Source organism: Homo sapiens, chromosome 11 (genome assembly GCF_000001405.40).
Source record: "Homo sapiens chromosome 11, GRCh38.p14 Primary Assembly".
Classification (NCBI taxonomy): Eukaryota; Metazoa; Chordata; class Mammalia; order Primates; family Hominidae; genus Homo; species Homo sapiens.
In genome coordinates, this window is record NC_000011.10 from 66,900,906 (window position 1) to 66,917,048 (window position 16,143).

Genomic DNA, 16,143 nt, shown 5'->3' on the forward strand with positions numbered 1-16,143 from the left:
ACAAGATCATGTCAACTGAAAATAAAAATACTTTTACCTCTTCCTTTCCAATCTGGATGTTCTTTATTTCCTTATCTTTCCTAATTGCCCTTTATGATCAAATTTTGAACTAGTAACTAGTTTTGATTTGGCAGCCCCTTCCCAAAAAGTAGCAGCAGCAGCCGCTCAGACCCTAGGATGCCAGAGCTCTCATCCCCCCTGCTTTCCACACCTGCTGAGTGGATGCCTCCTCCACAGCTTTGCCTTTTGGGGAAAGGCTACCTGGTTGGCGGCCTCCCTGTATGCCCTTCTCTGGACCCAGCGGGGCTGAGCCCTCTGGGTGGAGGCACCTGGGCTCCCTTCCTGGCTGGTTTCCTGTAGGTCCAGCCGATGAGACAGAGGCACAGGCGGGAGACAAGGGTAGGTAGGAGGCGGTGGAGAGAGAACGTGGGGTGTGCCTTCCTCACTCTCTACCAGCTTTGATGCCACCATCCTGACCCAGGCTGTGTCTTGTCGCTATGACAGTTCCTGCTGGCATCCCAGTGTCCACTATTCAGCCCTCACTGGTGTTTGCAGGAAAGGCTATTTATTTATTTTTTTTTGGAGACAGAGTCCCGCTCTGTCACCCAGGCTGCAGTACAATGGCGCGATCTTGGCTCACTGCAACCTCCACCTCCCTGGGTTTAACCAATTCTTCTGCTTCAGCCTCTGGAGTAGCTGGGATTACAGGCACCTGCCACCATGCCTGGCTAATTTTTTTGTATTTTTAGTAGAGATGGGGTTTTGCCATGTTGGCCAGGCTGGTCTTGAACTCTTGACTTCAGGTGATCCGCCCGCCTCAGCCTCCCAAAGTGCTAGGATTACAGGCGTGAGCCACCACGCCCAGCCAGGAAATGCTATTTCTTCTCCTGACCCCTTCAAGCCTAGTGGTAGTAATGACTTTCCACTGTCGCTTGGTGCCTCAACTTCCCTTGTTGGGTGTCTGACTTTTCTTGGCTATTTAATTCAATTTATTAAAAATAGTGTGCAACCCTCAACCATTCCTGGGTAGTCTTGACTGCTATTCTGCTAGATGACACACCCCGACATCCCGTGGAGGAAGTCACTGTGGAACCTAGGTCAATGTGAAAGCCTGGTTCTCTGGGCGAACTGATTACCAAAGTACCCAGTCCATGAGCCAAGGCGATAGTAAAGAAATCCAATGGGAAACAGCTTCAGTTCCTGGAAGAGGAAAGTAAACAGCAACCCAGGCAGGACATGGCCTTGACTGTGTTTGCTGCTGTTTTCTCTCCCTATTCGTGACTCCTAGGAGAACATATCTTCATAGCCCCATGATCTGACCTTTCATCCTATGCTTTGGAGTTTGAGCACAAACACTGACTGGCTCAGAGGCTTCCCGGAGATGCAGCTCTGGGCATCCACTATTGCTGATTTTACTGTGATGGCCACATAGCAAGTGTCGGAATTGCTGATCATTTGTGTGAGCTGCTACTGAGTGCCAGCCACTGCACTGAGTGATTTCTATGATCTCAATCATCAGAGGGCTTGTAAGGGGAATATTATTGTAAGCATGGAAAGACACCCAGATGAACAGCTTGCCTATGGTCTCAGAGCTCAAAGCCACGTAGACCCCTGTCTGCCCGTCATGCCGAGCTGTGCCTCAGGTCCTGCCCTGCCACCTGGGAGTCCCTTGTAGATAGATTGTCAAGACTGATCATGCTAGTGATTAGTAGTTACCAATCTCTCCTCCCTGCCTGCCAACCTCAGCCACTCTCCTCCACCATCACTCTTGCCCTGGCCACTCCCGGGCCTGTGATCACACCCTCCTCTTCCTCCTCCAGCTGTATCACATCACAGTCACACCTGTGTGTCCCCCAAACTCTGACCACAGCCCTTCCCCCAGGCTAACTGTGTAATCACAGTGGTGCTGCCCAGCCAACCCCCAGCTGAGTGGACATTTTGTTTTGTTGTTTTGGAGTTCTGCAAATAGCAAGAGCTTCCAGTTTGCCTTTACCCTAAAATGCACACCCCAGGGATGGGAGGGAAGCACAGCGGCTGCGGCAAGCCGGGCTGTCAGGCGCCTACCCGCTACACCACCGCAGCCCATCCACCTGCTGAGCAGCTGCTGACTCGCCAGGCCTTACTTTTCTGCTCCACATTAGCAGGGGGGTGTTCATCCGAATATAACAGTTCCTCCTCAGGGGTGAGAAATTAGCTTGCTGAAAACCCCCACTGGGAGGAAGGAGGTATTCAGAGTCGGGGACCTGCGGTGGTGAGTGGATCTACGAAAGCCCTAGGGCCAGACTGCCTTTCCCATCTTCTTAGTCCCAATCCAGAAGCGATGCATTCTCAGCACTGCCAACTCCTTTCCCCAATCTGAAGGAAGAGGGCATGTCTTATAATAATTATGAAAACAAGAATAATTCATAATAGCTGGAGTGCCAGGCCTTGGGTGAGGCACCATCCTGATTGTCTCCTCAATACTCACAAGGCCAGTATGATTCTATCCAACCATGTTGTTGAGCTCATCCCTACGGACTATAATTATTATTATTTTAAAAAATATATTTTTTGGCTGGGCGTGGTGGCTCACGCCTGTAATCCTTGCACTTTGGGAAGCCGAGGCAGGTGGATCACCTGAGGTCAGGAGTTCAAAACCAGCCTGGCCAACTTGGCGAAACCCTGTCTCTACTAAAAATACAAAAAAAAAAAAATTAGCCAGGCGTGGTGGCAGGCACCTGTAATCCCAGCTACTGGGGAGGCTGAGGCAGGAGAATCACTTCAACCTGGGAGGCGGAGGTTGCAGTGAGCCAAGATGGTGCCATTGCACTCCAGCCTGGGCAACAGAGTGAGAGACTCCATCTCAGGAAAAAAAAAAAAAAAAAAAAAATATATATATATATATATACACACACCCACACACACCCACACACATATATACATTTTTTTTTTTTTTATTTAGAGACAGAGTCTCACTTCGTCACCCAGGCTGGAGTACAACGGCACGATCTCAGCTCACTGCAACCTCCGCCTCCTAGGCCCAAGCAATACTCCTGCCTCAGCCTCCCGGGTAGCTGGGATTACAGACACCCAGCACCATGCCCAGCTACAGACTATAATTATATTTAACAACAATATTGCTAGTGCTCTGCAGTTTAGAAGGCGCTTTAGCAGACACTCTCACTTGCTACTAAGAGTAACCTCGCCTGGTAGGTAGGACAAGCACATCTTCATTTGACAGAAGCTTTTACACAGAGCATGGGGCTTTCTGGCCTATCTCCCACCCCTAATGTCCCACACCAGTTCCTGATCTCCTGCCCCACCCCTCCTGCACCCTGCCCCTTCTCAGGTGACTCACTGTGTCAACATCCTTGAAGGAATGATTTCTGGTTCATGGCCCCAGAGCTGGAGCTTTGGAAGGATAATGGGAAAAGCAGCCAGGGTCCCTGCCCTCAAGAGACAAGCATTCTAAGGCTGGGCGCGGTGGCTCATGTCTGTAATCTCAGCACTTTGGGAGGCCAAAGCAAGCAGATCACTTGAGCCCAGGAGTTTGACACCAGCCTGGGCAATACGGTGAAACTCTGCCTCTAAAAAAATACAAAAATTAGCCTTGCATGGTGGCATGCGCCTGTAGTCCCAGCTACTCAGGAGGCTGAGGTGGGAGAATCACCTGAGCCTGGGAGGTCAAGGCTGCAGTGAGCTGTGATTGTGCCACCACACTCCAGCATGGGTGACAGAGCGAGACCCTGTCTCAAAACACACACACACACAAAAAGACACGAGTTCTAATGAAAGAGAAAGGACAAATACAAATAAGGAACTGTATGACTAAGTGGGATGGAAGGCCTGGCAGGGGTCACCTGGCCAAGTCTGGACCACAGGCTGCTGTGATTCTGTGGGAAGGGAACGGCATTAAGAGGAACGGCATTAAGAGTTAAACCTTGGGTTCAAGTTCTGGCTTTGCTATCATCCATCATATGACCTTGGGGAATTCACTCTACCTCTGGACCTGTTAGTCCGTCTACAAAACAGATTTATCCCTCTCAGCACAGAGCGCTGACAATTAAGGGATCTGTTTTACAGGAAACTTCAAATTGGCTCTTCGGTTTCAGAAACTGTAAACCACAATACATATGCAAAGGACTGTGATTAGATTTCACCTCATCAGAGGTATCAAGTGTTTACTGAGCAACAAACTGCCTGTAACACACACTTGAGGGATGGAGGATCATATAAAACATGGCCTCTGCCTTTAAGAAAATCACTATCTGCTGACGAGGCAAGACTGGCACAGCCAACATATAACAAACACATAGTGTGTGCAAAGGCACTGCTGTTAGAGAAAAGGGAGAGGAGGCAGGCCGAGCAGCTTAGGAGAGCTAAGTGAAGGCTCACAGAGGAGACGCTTGGCCTGGCCCTTAGCAAGGGTGCCAACGCCTGCTGTGTGAGTGCACTGGGGTGAGAGGGAGAAACAGGACCGGCTGTCCTCGTCTCCAAGGGCGGACTCCAAGCTGACTCTGTTCAGGGTCAGGGGCCAGTGGAGCCAGTTCAAATCCTGATCACAACCCCCTAATGCTAATTAATCTGGTTACCTAGAGGAACTAAGTTGTCTGAGACTCTGTAAAATAAGAATAATTATTTGACTTTGTATGTTCATTGGGAGGATGAAATATGAGAATGCATGTGAACTGGTCCATATTAGGGATGTAATACATGCTACAAATTAATAATCCTTGACATCAAATAAGGTCTGACTGCCAGGGTGGGATCAGATTTTGGAAGGTCAGAAGCACCAATAGAGAAATATAGACACAATGATTTGGGGGTGATCAGCATAGAAGTGACAGCCAAAGCCATGAGAAAGAGCTTGGCCTCAGCAAGGTGGGGAGGGCTGCTGCCCACAAGCCCAGCTCCGGCCACCAGCATGCTCCCTCCCCACCCGAACCACGGGTGCCTGGGCTGCCCAGGCCCTGGCGAGCTTAGCCCAGGGCATCACCACTCACCTGCTTTCCTGAGAAGAGCACAGGAGCAGAGGTGGAACAGCAGAAATGTGAGGAGGAGAAACTGAGGCAGGAATGAAACTGAAGGGATGGTCTTAAGAGGGGCAAACAAATACTGCTAGTATGTCACAGCACAGGAGCCCAAAAGAGAAGTTTCAGGCAGAGGTGGGCGGGCGGGGAGCCTGCAGTAACATGAACTCTCAAAGTTGTGGGGAAGGGCAGCACCAAAGCAGACAATGACCCAGTGAGAAGCTGACACGGAAGCAACGGAAGATGAATCAGGAGGTTTAAGGGAACGATATGCAGCCCCGCCTAAAAAGTATGCATTCATTCATTCAGTCACTTCTGAACGAGCCTTTACAACATGCCAGGCACTGTCGGTCATCAGAGAGAAAGTTGTGCAGGAGAGAACAGGTCCCTGTCCTCATGAAACTGACATTTCATTCCAGCCAGGAAACCAAGCACACAAACAAGACCAAAGATCCATCCTGATCGGTAAGTACTGTCTCCTGGCCTCAGACTCCCTCCTGATGGCAGGTCTCCCTCGGTGTCACAGAGAAAGGCACCACCTGACAGAGAACAAAGCCACGGTGCTCAATCCCTCCACCCCTGGCCTAGAACTCCCGGGGTGGGGAGAAAGGCATGTTCTTAACAATTGCTAATCCCGAGCAGTTTGGGACTAAGCAGAGGGAAATAGAGCTGAAGCATACACAGATGTCCACGTCACCTCCATCCCCCCAGTCTTTCCCCCTACGAGCATGCCCATGTACACACACATGCACACTGCATTTCTCCCCTCTCCTTGGATTGTTATCCCATGACCTGGCAGGGAGCCTGGCCCGTTTGCAGTTAAAGAACAAGAGGCCATTTGGAACCTGATCAGTTTCTCCTCCTCCTAAACTGAGGAAAAGGTTTTCTTCAAAATGGGAGATGTTCTCTCCCCTTAGATCTGAGCAGTGAGTCCTACTCAAACGCCAGAGGTCTGGTCTCCCAAAATACGGGTAGTAACATGTTTTTCCTGCACTGCTGTCTGGGAGGTCTCACATGTTGAACAGAGCATGACCTCAGCCCTCCTATTTCCCAGATTCCTAAAGGAAAGCCGGGCCTTTCTGTTCTGTAACTCCAGGGCATTTTGTGAAGGACTGAGCCGGCTGGGGAGCTGGAGCACAGCACACGAAGGGCCGGCTGGTGCTGAACTATGAGCAGGGCCTCCCCATGACCACTGGCAGCCATGCCATTTACACAAGGAACCATGTGGCCTTTCCCTCAACTGTCACCATCATGCAAGGGTGTTCTGGCCCAGAGCTCTTGGATCCATGGCCAAGGTCTTCTGTCCAAGGTCTCAGGCAAAACCTGTTCTCGGCCAGGAACAGTGGTTCACGCCTGTAATCCCAGCACTTTGGGAGGCCGAGGCGGGCAGATCACCTGAGGTCAGGAGTTCAAGACCATCCTGGCCAGCATGGTGAAACCCCGTCTCTACGAAAAATACAAAATTAGCCGGGTGTGGTGGCACACACGTGTAATCCCAGCTACTCGGGAGGCTGAGGCAGAAGAATCGCTTGAACCCGGGAGGCAGGGGTTGCAGTGAGCCGAGATCATACCACCGCACTCCAGCCTGGATGACAAAGCGAGACTCAAAAACAAAAACAAAACAACAACAAATCTGTTCTCAGGTCAAGTAGGGTTTGCCTACCTCCTGCCCCTCAGCTTGCCCATGCCTGACCAGAACAGTCCCCACAGCTCTTGAGAAATGATCTAGTCCAACCCTCCCCTAGATTCCTGTTCTCTAAGGACTGTTCCCATCCTTCTACCCTCTGCTCTTCTAACTGCTAGAAAGCTGCCAAGTTCCAGAGGGAAGAGCAACAATGGCCAGGATGTGTGGGCACCCCTACCCAGGACAAAGTGCCTAGAGGCCTCTGAAAGTCGGTTCTCTTACCACGGCAGTTGGTCTGCAGAGTTCCAGAGAGGCCACACTGTTCCTGTAACACCCAAGTCTGGGCCTGAGGCCTGCTGCCTGTTTATAATTGATGTTCTAGGTTAATCCCCTGTCAATGACTTTCCAGAACTGTCCCCTCCTTTACCGCTCCCAGGAGAGAGAGGCTGCTTGGGAGCCAATCTCTGGCTTAGGGGTGGGCCTTGAGTAGACTGAGGGAAGGATAAAAAAACAAACACTAGGTCAGGGGTGAGCTGGAAGAGCGGCGGTCAAAAGCCACTGCTCACAAGTTCTGGTGGAAAGATGAAAGGGCAGTGGTGTTCGAGTTTCACAAAGAAGGGAGGGCCAGGGCCAGGGCTGGGAAAGCCAGCCAGGAGAGAGACAGGGCATCTGGCCTAAGGAAAGGAGCAGAAGATTCAATGGGGAGAAGAAAAAAGAAGGAGTCTAATGTCTTCCTCCTTCCTGCCGAGACCTCACTATGCCTTGGGTTGTCCACCTGGGAACTGGTGACATCATGGGCCTGTCTCCCCACAGGGCCAGAAGACTGGATCCCTCACCAGGGCACATGTTACCTGGTGATTAGTGTGAGCTGGTGACCCAGTACGATTTATCAGCAAGCAGATGTTCACATGCTTGAACATACTATGAAACCACCCAGCTCAGTTCATTTAACAAAGTGTTATCCTAAAGGGCACCCCAGTAAGAAGCCAGAACAGAGTTCCCACCTACTGGGTACCACCCCACCATCGCAAGGAAGCAAAACACCAGGCTGAGCTCTGACCAGCTCCTTGGAGGAGGCACAGTCAATAGCTCACTGTTAGATCTTTTGCTTGGCCTCCCGAACCCGAGGCTAATTGGTCGGAGGTCTTGCATGGTTCGGCGCGCTCACTGTGTGACAGAAGCTGGCATCTGAAGAGAGCGGGTAGGCTGAGCCTGCTACGGGAACGTAAGTGCGCCCTGATCCAAGCCAGGCAGAGGTCTGAACACCCCGATGTCCCCGAGAACACGCGTTAACTGAAAAGTCAGGGTGGAGGGATCCTGCACATTCCTTCAGGTCCAGGATCCTGACCAGCACTGGCACCTCTGTTTCCGCCTCTTCTCTATCTTTTCCCAAGATGACAATAAGCAGCTTTCTGCTTCCCTTCCAGCCCATGAAGGAAGGGGGCTACCCGGAAGGTGAGCTCAGAATGAGACTCAAACCAGGGGCCCTATCTGGGAATAAAGAGTAGAGGATCAGCTGGAATGCCAAAGTGGGAAATGGCAGAAAGTCCCTGTTCCCCGTGTCCAGTGCTACAGCTGCTGGTTGTGACAATTCTTGTCCTTATCCTAGCACCCAGACAGGCACCGGGTGCCTCTTCCACAGCTGGAGGCAGAGAGGTGCCACCAACTCCCGTACTCGCCTTGAGATTTGCCTTCTGGCTGGTGTGCTGCTGGTGTGGGGCCAGAGCTGGAGGAAGTATCTGCATGGAGCCTGCACTCAGCCTAAGCCTCACCCAGGAGTGCCATTCACAGTGACTTGCCCAAGGTCATACTCGTCATGGACCCCAGCCATCTCCACTCATGCTTCATTCCTCAGCACACAGAGATCATGCAGGACATGATCTTCGGAACAGGTGTCCCTGCCGCTCCCCCCCGAAGAGAAGCTGCCTGAGAGTGGGGTCACAGCTTACTCAGCTCTGCCTGCAATGAGCACTTCACAGGCTGCTACTGGATTGGACCAAAAATGTCATCACCACCACGTGTCCTATTTGGTCCAGCGCAGCCTGCCTGAGTCTCCATCAGCACTGGGGAGCCGGAGCGGACAAGAAGACACAGTCCCTGCCCTCCAGGAGCTCACGTCAGGGAAGGCACTAGACACGTAAACAAAGAGGAGAAACCAAGTGTGGTGGGAGCCAAAGGAAGCAAATGCCAGTGCTGAACTAGTGATGGGAGGAGGGGACTCAGGTATCAGGAAACCATGGGAGTTGAGACTCACAGACAAGGTGAGTGACAGAGGACCGGCGGGAAGGGAAAAGGGAAGAGAGTGGTGTGGCCAGGACACGGGCCATTGTATGGTCACAAACCATGCAGTTTGGTATGGCTGGAACACCGGGTATGAGCAGAAGGGGACGCAGGGGCCTGACCACTCACTGCGGCAGAGCAACACAGCATGATCCATGCTGTCTTCAATTTACACAGAAAGCCCGGTGTTGAAAAATTCAACAATTAACCTTCCATGCAATTGTAAAATACCCTGAAACCAACAATTATGACGACTTTATAGGTGTTTTCTTCATCTGAGAAAAACACAAGCGGGGGGAGTAAGTGTCTGGCTTAAACGGTAGCAAGGTTATGCGCTGCTGCCCTGGCGAACGAGTCGCTCACATGCTCAACAACACTGTTAGTCCTGGGTGACAAACAGAACCAGGCTTCCAGCTGGAGGTTCCAGGTGGAGAACGAGTCGCTCTGTGCTCAGCTCTGGGTAGTGCTTACATCTGTCTCGTCCTTGTCTTGGCTCATGGTCCATCCTGCAGAAAGCTCCTTGTGCCATCAGGGCAGCTGGATGGACCCTTCTAATGGCCTTGGTCCCCCATTCTCCTCTGCCACCCCAAATCTAGCCACACATACATTGATGTCGTATGACTTCTATGGAGCAAGACAAGCAAGTAGAGTTTCTTTCATTTATTCGGAAAGCTTGTGAGGACTGTCCACTATGTAACACAAAAGATACTAGGTGCTATAGGGAAGCAGAGAGAGCGTGATGGCCCCACACTTTAAGAACTCACCATACGGCCGGTGGAAGCAAGATCTGCATGTGGCAAATTAGCATCCACCCCCAGAGTTAATTGTCAAAGAATAAGGCTGCAGGGCAGGGGTCACAGGGGCTAAGGTTTCCAGGCCTCTACTGTCCATGACCCCTAGAAAGATGCAACAAACCAACCACTTTGTGATACCAGCTCCAGGCCAGAGAGCAAAGGCTCTGGATTGACCCAACCCAACGCTAGTGCTGACAGTCTCACAGTGTCCCAGAATGCCCCAGTGTCCTTCCTCCTCCACACAAGTCACATAAACCCACTGTTGTCCCCTCCCAGCACTGCAGTTTGAGCTCTGGGAACTGTGTTTAATTGCAACTCCAACACTTAAGTCGCTCTTCAACTTGGGAATTTACGTAACCTTCTGAACTTTAGTTTCCTGATCTATAAAATGCAGAATGATCTGAGCCATCTTGTGGAGTTGCTATGAGAACCCAATGAGGTAACGTATTTTTGAAATACCTACGAGAGTCTAGCACGGTAGAGATGTCCAAAAAAATGACCCCAATGGTCAGCCCTTGTAATAATAGCCTTAGTCCTTCTCTCTTCCATCATGCCCTAGGGCCTCAATACAAGAGAGGTAGAGACCTAGACACAAGCTCAGGGAGGCTAAGAACAGAATGTCAGTCCCTTGTAGGATGGCAACTGGAAGGAGCTGCGAGATGTGAATCAGACAGTCATGGCCCTATCTCTGCTACTGTTACCAGTGCTGTGCCAAGAGGCAAGTCACCCCGCCATCCTGGGCTTCAGTTTCTTCCCCCACTAGACCAGGGATAATAATTACCAGCCTTCTTTACAGGAGCAGCCTGGACAAAAAAAAAAAAAAAACACCATAACCCAGGTGCAATGGCAGATGCCTGTAGTCCCAGCTACTCTGGATACTGAGGCAGGAGTTCGAGGCTGCAGTGAGCTATGATCACACTTGTAAATAGCCACTGCACTACAGCCTGGGCAACACAGCCAGAGCTTGCCTCTTTAAAAAAGTAATAATAAATAAGACACATCCCTGTCTTTAGTCTAGTTAAGAAGGAAGGCGTAAAGAGGAAGAGATTAAACAATATAAAGTTAAATTAATAGAAAGACAAGCATTGAAAAGAATACAAACTCAGGAACAAATTTAGCAAAAGAAATCCAAACCTTAGGCTGGGCATGGCGGCTCACACCTGTAATCCCAGCACTTTGGGAGGCCGAGGCAGGCAGATCATAAGGTCAGGAGTTCGAGACCAGCCTGACCAATATAGTGAAACCCCCATCTCTACTAAAAATACAAAAATTAGCCGGGTGTGGTGGCACATGCCTGTAAATTCCAGCTACTCGGAAGGCTGAGGCAGGAGAATCCCTCGAACCCAGGAGGCAGAGGTTGTGGTGAGCCAAAATCGCGCCATTGCACTCCAGCCTGGGCAACAGAGCAAGACAAGAAAAAAGAAAGAAAAGAAAAGAAAAGCAAACCTTATACACTGAAAACTATAAAAGACCCTCAAAAGAAATTAAAAATCTAAAGGAAAGGAAAGATACCACATGTTCATGGGTCAGAGACTTCCTGTTGCTAAGATGGGAATACTCGCCACACTGACCTACAATCCCCATCGCAATCCTAGATGTCCCAACAGTTTTGCCCACCACTGCCTTTGCACCATGGGTGCAAATGTCAACACACTGGAAAAGTCAAAGAACCTCTTGGTATTGTTATGGAAATCCTTTTGACTCACAGACCCCCCTGGAACAGACTTGAGGAGGTGTAAGGGCCTGGGGACCCTAGTTTGAGAACCACCAGTCTAGGAAGACACTCCTTGCTGGCCTGGGAGAAAGTAATGCCAGTTTTGGAATAAAACAAACAAGCTTCTTCACCTTGGGACACAAGAAGAGGCAGCGAGGTGAGCGGCGTGATTCCTGCACTGAGTAGGTGGGATGGCTGACCTCAGCGCTGTGTGACTGACAGCCGTAAAGGGTGGAGTTCAGCTGAGCAGCCGCTTCCTGTGGGCACTTCCAAATCTAACAACCTGCTCTCCGCTGGTTTCCTCTCCACCCTTTCCATTCCTTTGACCTCAACACAAAATAGGCAGCTTTGATTCACAGGATCCTTTTCCTGCTTCCCCACTAGAGTGGGCCAAGAGGGAATGGGGATGGTTGGGGAAGGAGGGCAAGAAGCAGCAAGGGAAGAGGACGGCAAATACTATCAGCTCCTGCCTCTGCCCAGCTGCCCCCAGCCTCAGTTCACCCTGGGGTGGGGAGGGGTCTCCCAACAATTCCCACCACATTCCCTTCCTGCCATTTAGCCCCCTAGTTCAATGTTAACGAAGGGCTTCCTCCTGCCACAGCTGAGGTCACTGGGTAGGGAAGGCTCCTTCTCTCATTACCGCAGTGATAAGCCCCCACCCAGCAACCCACACGAGACCCCAAGCTGGCTCAAAGCCCATTCCTCACAGGATATTCAGTAAAACAACGTGAAACCCGGGTGGGAATGAATTTCTCATTGGAGACGAGACTGTTAGAACGGCAGCAGCAGTAGTAAAGCCGCTTGGCCTGTGGCGCCAAAGGCAGAAAACAAAGTACCATTCAGGCCCTGGGGACACACAATAGGCCCTTATGCTCTTTTCTGGTTCAGGCGCAGAGCTGCTAAGCAGAGCTAGAGGGCCCAATGGGTGGCCCCTGGGCAGATCTAGGATGCATGGGGCCCCAGACAAATACATTATGGGGACTCGTCTATATAAAAACTTGAGTCACTCAAAATTAGTGCATCAGCACCATTCTGGCAGCCCAATCTCACATGATTCCCACTAAAGAAATACTGCAGGCTGGGCGCAGTGGCTCACGCTTGTAATCCCAGCACTTTGGGAGGCTGAGGTGGGCGGAACACAAGGTCAGGAGTTTGAGACCAGCCTGACCAACATCTCTACTAAAAAAATACAAAAATTAGCCGGGCGTGCCTGTAATCCCAGATACTCAGGAGGCTGAGGCAGGAGAATCTCTTGAACCTGGGAGGCGGAGGTTGCAGTGAGTCAAGGTCACGCCACTGCACTTCAGCCTAGGCAACAAGAGAGAAACTCTGTCTCAAAAAAAAAAAAAAAAGAAAGAAAGAAAGAAATACTGCAGCCATCTCCCGGAACTGGGCCCCAGGACGACTCCACAGAACAGCTGTTGTCCCTGTGCAACGTAGAGGGATGGAGAGTACCCCAAAGGATCCCAGGGTGGGTTTGCAACACCCGTGGCCAGAATGGTACTGGGAGCCCCAGCCAGCCCCAGGCACTGGAGGAGGACCTGGAAAATTTGGAGGAAGGTACCCCTCAGGTGTAGAGTCTGAACAGGGGCCACATGTGCCCAGGCCTAAGGCTGCTACTGACCCTGAGGACACACAGCCACAAAGATGGGTTTGAAGGATTAAGAATGTTGCCCTCAAAAAAGAAATCTAGGAACTCAAAGCCCAGGTACGTCTCGTTTCCTCCTCTCTGGGGTTATCAAGCTACCTGGGCAATCCAAACACTTCGGTAAGTCAGCAGGTCTTTCTCTTTCTCCCTACTGGATAAAACAGGGTGGTCTGTTTTGATTTTTACAATGTATTCCTGCCCCTCTCTCTCCATAAGGTCAACAGGTAAGAAGCCAGGAAAAAAGAAAGGCTTTGCAGCTGGGTGCGGTGGCTAACGCCTGTAATCCCAGCACTTTGGGAGGCCGAGGTGGGCGGATCACCTGAGGTCAGGAGTTCGAGACCAGCCTGGCCAATATGGTGAAACCCCGTCTCTACTAAAAATACAAAAATTAGCTGGGCGTGGTGGCAGGCACCTGTAATGCCAGCTACTAGGGAGGCTGAGGCAGGAAATCGCTTGAACCTGGGAGGCAGAGTTTGCAGTGAGCCGAGATGGCGCCACTGCACTCCAGTCTGGGCAACAAGGGTGAAACTCTGTCTCAAAAAAAAAAAAGAAAGAAAGAAAGACTTTGCCAGGATCCCTTTGAGGGAAGGACTGAGTCTGGCCCATAGTAAATGCTCAAAAAAGGTAAGTAAAGAACAAACACAGATAATCTACAAACTGATAATTCACTGCCAGGCAAGGAGGCATTTAATTCAACTCCAAACAGGCCTTGTCCCCTCGAGGCATTTCTGCCGTCGCCTCCAATTACACTACCAGGGACTGTTTAGTAGTAGTGCCAGGCAGGTTGTGGTGGCTCATACCTGTAATCCTAGCACTCTGGGAGGCCAAAGTGGGAGGATGGCTTGAGTCCAGGAGTTCAAGACCAGCCTGGGCAACATAGCAAGACTCCACGTCTAGAAAAAAAAATTAGCTGGGTGTGGTGGTACGTGCCTATGATCCCAGCTACTCCAGAGGCTGAGGTGGGAAAGTCACTTGAGCCTGGGGGAGTTCAAGGCTGCAGTGAGCTATGATGGTGCCACTGCACTCCAGCCTGGGTGACAGAGCAAGACCCTGTCTCAAAAACAAAACAACAACAACAAAAAAACTAGTGTCAGCAGGGTCCTAGGGTGCGCCAATGGGGAGGGCTCACAAGGCAAACAGACAGCTCCAGCAACCAGACTCCAGCCAGGGAGGGAGGGAGGGAGGGTGCTGCTGCCATAAGCTCCTCCCGCCCTCCACTCCATTTCACAGAGAGCACGGTGGAGTCTCTGAAACCTGCCTAAGGTTCCCCATGTTCTGCCAAGCTCCACAGCAAGGCACTGCCTGCTGCGAGAGGCAGATAACCACAGTGGGAGGGAGGCTTCCCCTGATGGGCCAGCAGGGTTAGGGCACTCTCATTACCCGCTGCCTGTGCAGCAATGATCACAGCTATAATTGAACAGGGAATGGCCTTCTGCCAGTCCCCCCTGATGACAGGAGATGGCTGAGGCCTTCTCCCTGCTGTGTCTCCAGCATGAAGCATGCGGCCTAGAACACAGTCCTGCTCGGTAAACAGTTGTAGAGCAAAGGCAAGTCTCCCTAAGCCACACGGCAGCCCCTGGAGCTGAGGGCCAGCTGTGGACCACTCCGTGCCCTGTGATCCTGCAGGGAGCAAGGGCTCCAGGGGTGATTCTGCTCCATCCATGGAGGGGTGTACCAGGGCCCTGCCCGCAGGGGGAGCTACCAGGGGAGGGACCACAGGCCTCAGAGGTGGCATGCCAGGTTCCGAGACTTCCTCGATTTATCCTAAAGTCTCACGCTAACGTAACAGAGAGGGCAGTCAGGCAAAAAATCCTGGTGCTGACAAGCACATGGTGTTGGGGGAAGCCTGGTCCCAATCCTCTGAGGCCCCAGATTTGGTTCTGTCTCCCTTCTTTCTTCGTCCTTTACAGGCAATAGCCACTGCCTCTTTCGGCACTTTGAGCTCAGTACTAACTACCCCTCCCATAGTCTCAGTCTTTCCTACAACGCTCTTTACAGCCTCCACTCCCTCTGCTTTGGTCCTTCCTCCTCCTTACCCTCCAAAACAAACACACCAACTGTGTTTCTTTCAGCCACTGCTTCTGCTGGAACTCCCCTATTGCTGGAGGGGATCAGCAGGAACAAATGCGCTCTGTGCAGGGGCCACGTCTGTTCCCCAGCTCTCACTCACCACACTTGGCCCAGCCCCTGTGGTCTTTCCCTTAGCGTAGGTCAGGCCAGGCCCACAGCTGTAGACAGCAAGCCTGTCCTGCTCGTTGCCAAGCAGTTTTATTTTACTATTACTATTGTTTTGTAGAGATGAGTTCTTACTGTGTTGCCCAGGCTGGTCTTCACCTCCTGGGCGCAGGTGATCCTCCGACCTCGGCCTCCCACAGTGCTGGGATTACAGGCGTGAGCCACTGTGACCGACCTGCCAAGCAGTTTTGTATGTGCAGTCTGTGCTCTGAACAGGGTTAAGGAGGACTTCACCGTCTAAGCAGATCTGGCTTATAGGCAGCAAATTACTCACCTCAATTTCTGGGGGACCTGAGTTCCTAGGAGCTGCCAGTCCTGAGACCACAGTTTAGTCACCTTAGTCTCCCCAAAGGCTAACAGAGCAGTGATCCAAGAAGGCACTGGGTAAAGATAGGGAACCAATAAACGTGGAAGGGAGAAAAGCATGACACTACAGAAAGTACAAAAGATTTGGGAGCAGAAAGGCCGGGTGTGGTGGCTCATGCCTGTAATCCCAGCACTTCGGGAGGCCGAGGCGTGCGGATCACGAGGTCAGGAGATTGAGACCATCCTGGCTAACACGGTGAAACCCCGTCTCTACTAAAAATACAAAAAATTATCCGGGCGTGGTGGCAGGCACCTATAGTCTCAGCTACTCAGGAGGCTAAGGCAGGAGAATGGCGTGAACCCGGGAGGCAGAGTTTGTAGTGAGCCGAGACCGTGCCACTGCACTCCAGCCTGGGTGACAGAGTGAGACTCTGTCTCAAAAAAATAAAATAAAATAAAATATTTGGGAGCACAAAACCTAGATTCCAGCCCTAGTTCGTCATGACCCTGAGCAAATCATCTACAAACCAAGA

General features: G+C 51.3%; 1 protein-coding gene across 10 annotated transcripts in view, besides 1 other annotated feature; it reads right to left on the bottom strand.

The window, feature by feature from the left end:
* The window catches only part of PC (pyruvate carboxylase), a 109,964-nt gene that overhangs the window by 52,486 nt on the left and 41,335 nt on the right, over nucleotides 1-16,143 (bottom strand). Inside the window, exons 1-2 of one of the 10 annotated variants that reach the window (NM_001439358.1) lie at nucleotides 6,916-7,048; nucleotides 5,417-5,548 (exon numbers count right to left, since the gene is read on the bottom strand). The exons of 7 other annotated variants lie outside the window; for them this stretch is intronic. The gene's annotated coding sequence lies outside the window, so the exon portion shown is untranslated. Of the gene's footprint in view, nucleotides 1-4,982; nucleotides 5,130-5,416; nucleotides 5,549-6,915; nucleotides 7,049-16,143 lie in introns of those variants that run through there. 2 more of the 10 variants (NM_022172.3, NM_001439359.1) reach the window with 2 other exon arrangements.
* Nucleotides 4,229-4,876: an enhancer, noted in NCBI's record as "H3K27ac-H3K4me1 hESC enhancer chr11:66672605-66673252 (GRCh37/hg19 assembly coordinates)". NCBI's record gives its function as "activates a minimal SCP1, AML or CMV promoter by ChIP-STARR-seq in naive H9 embryonic stem cells {active_cell/tissue: H9 hESC(naive)}" and the evidence as "EXISTENCE:reporter gene assay evidence [ECO:0000049][PMID:30033119]".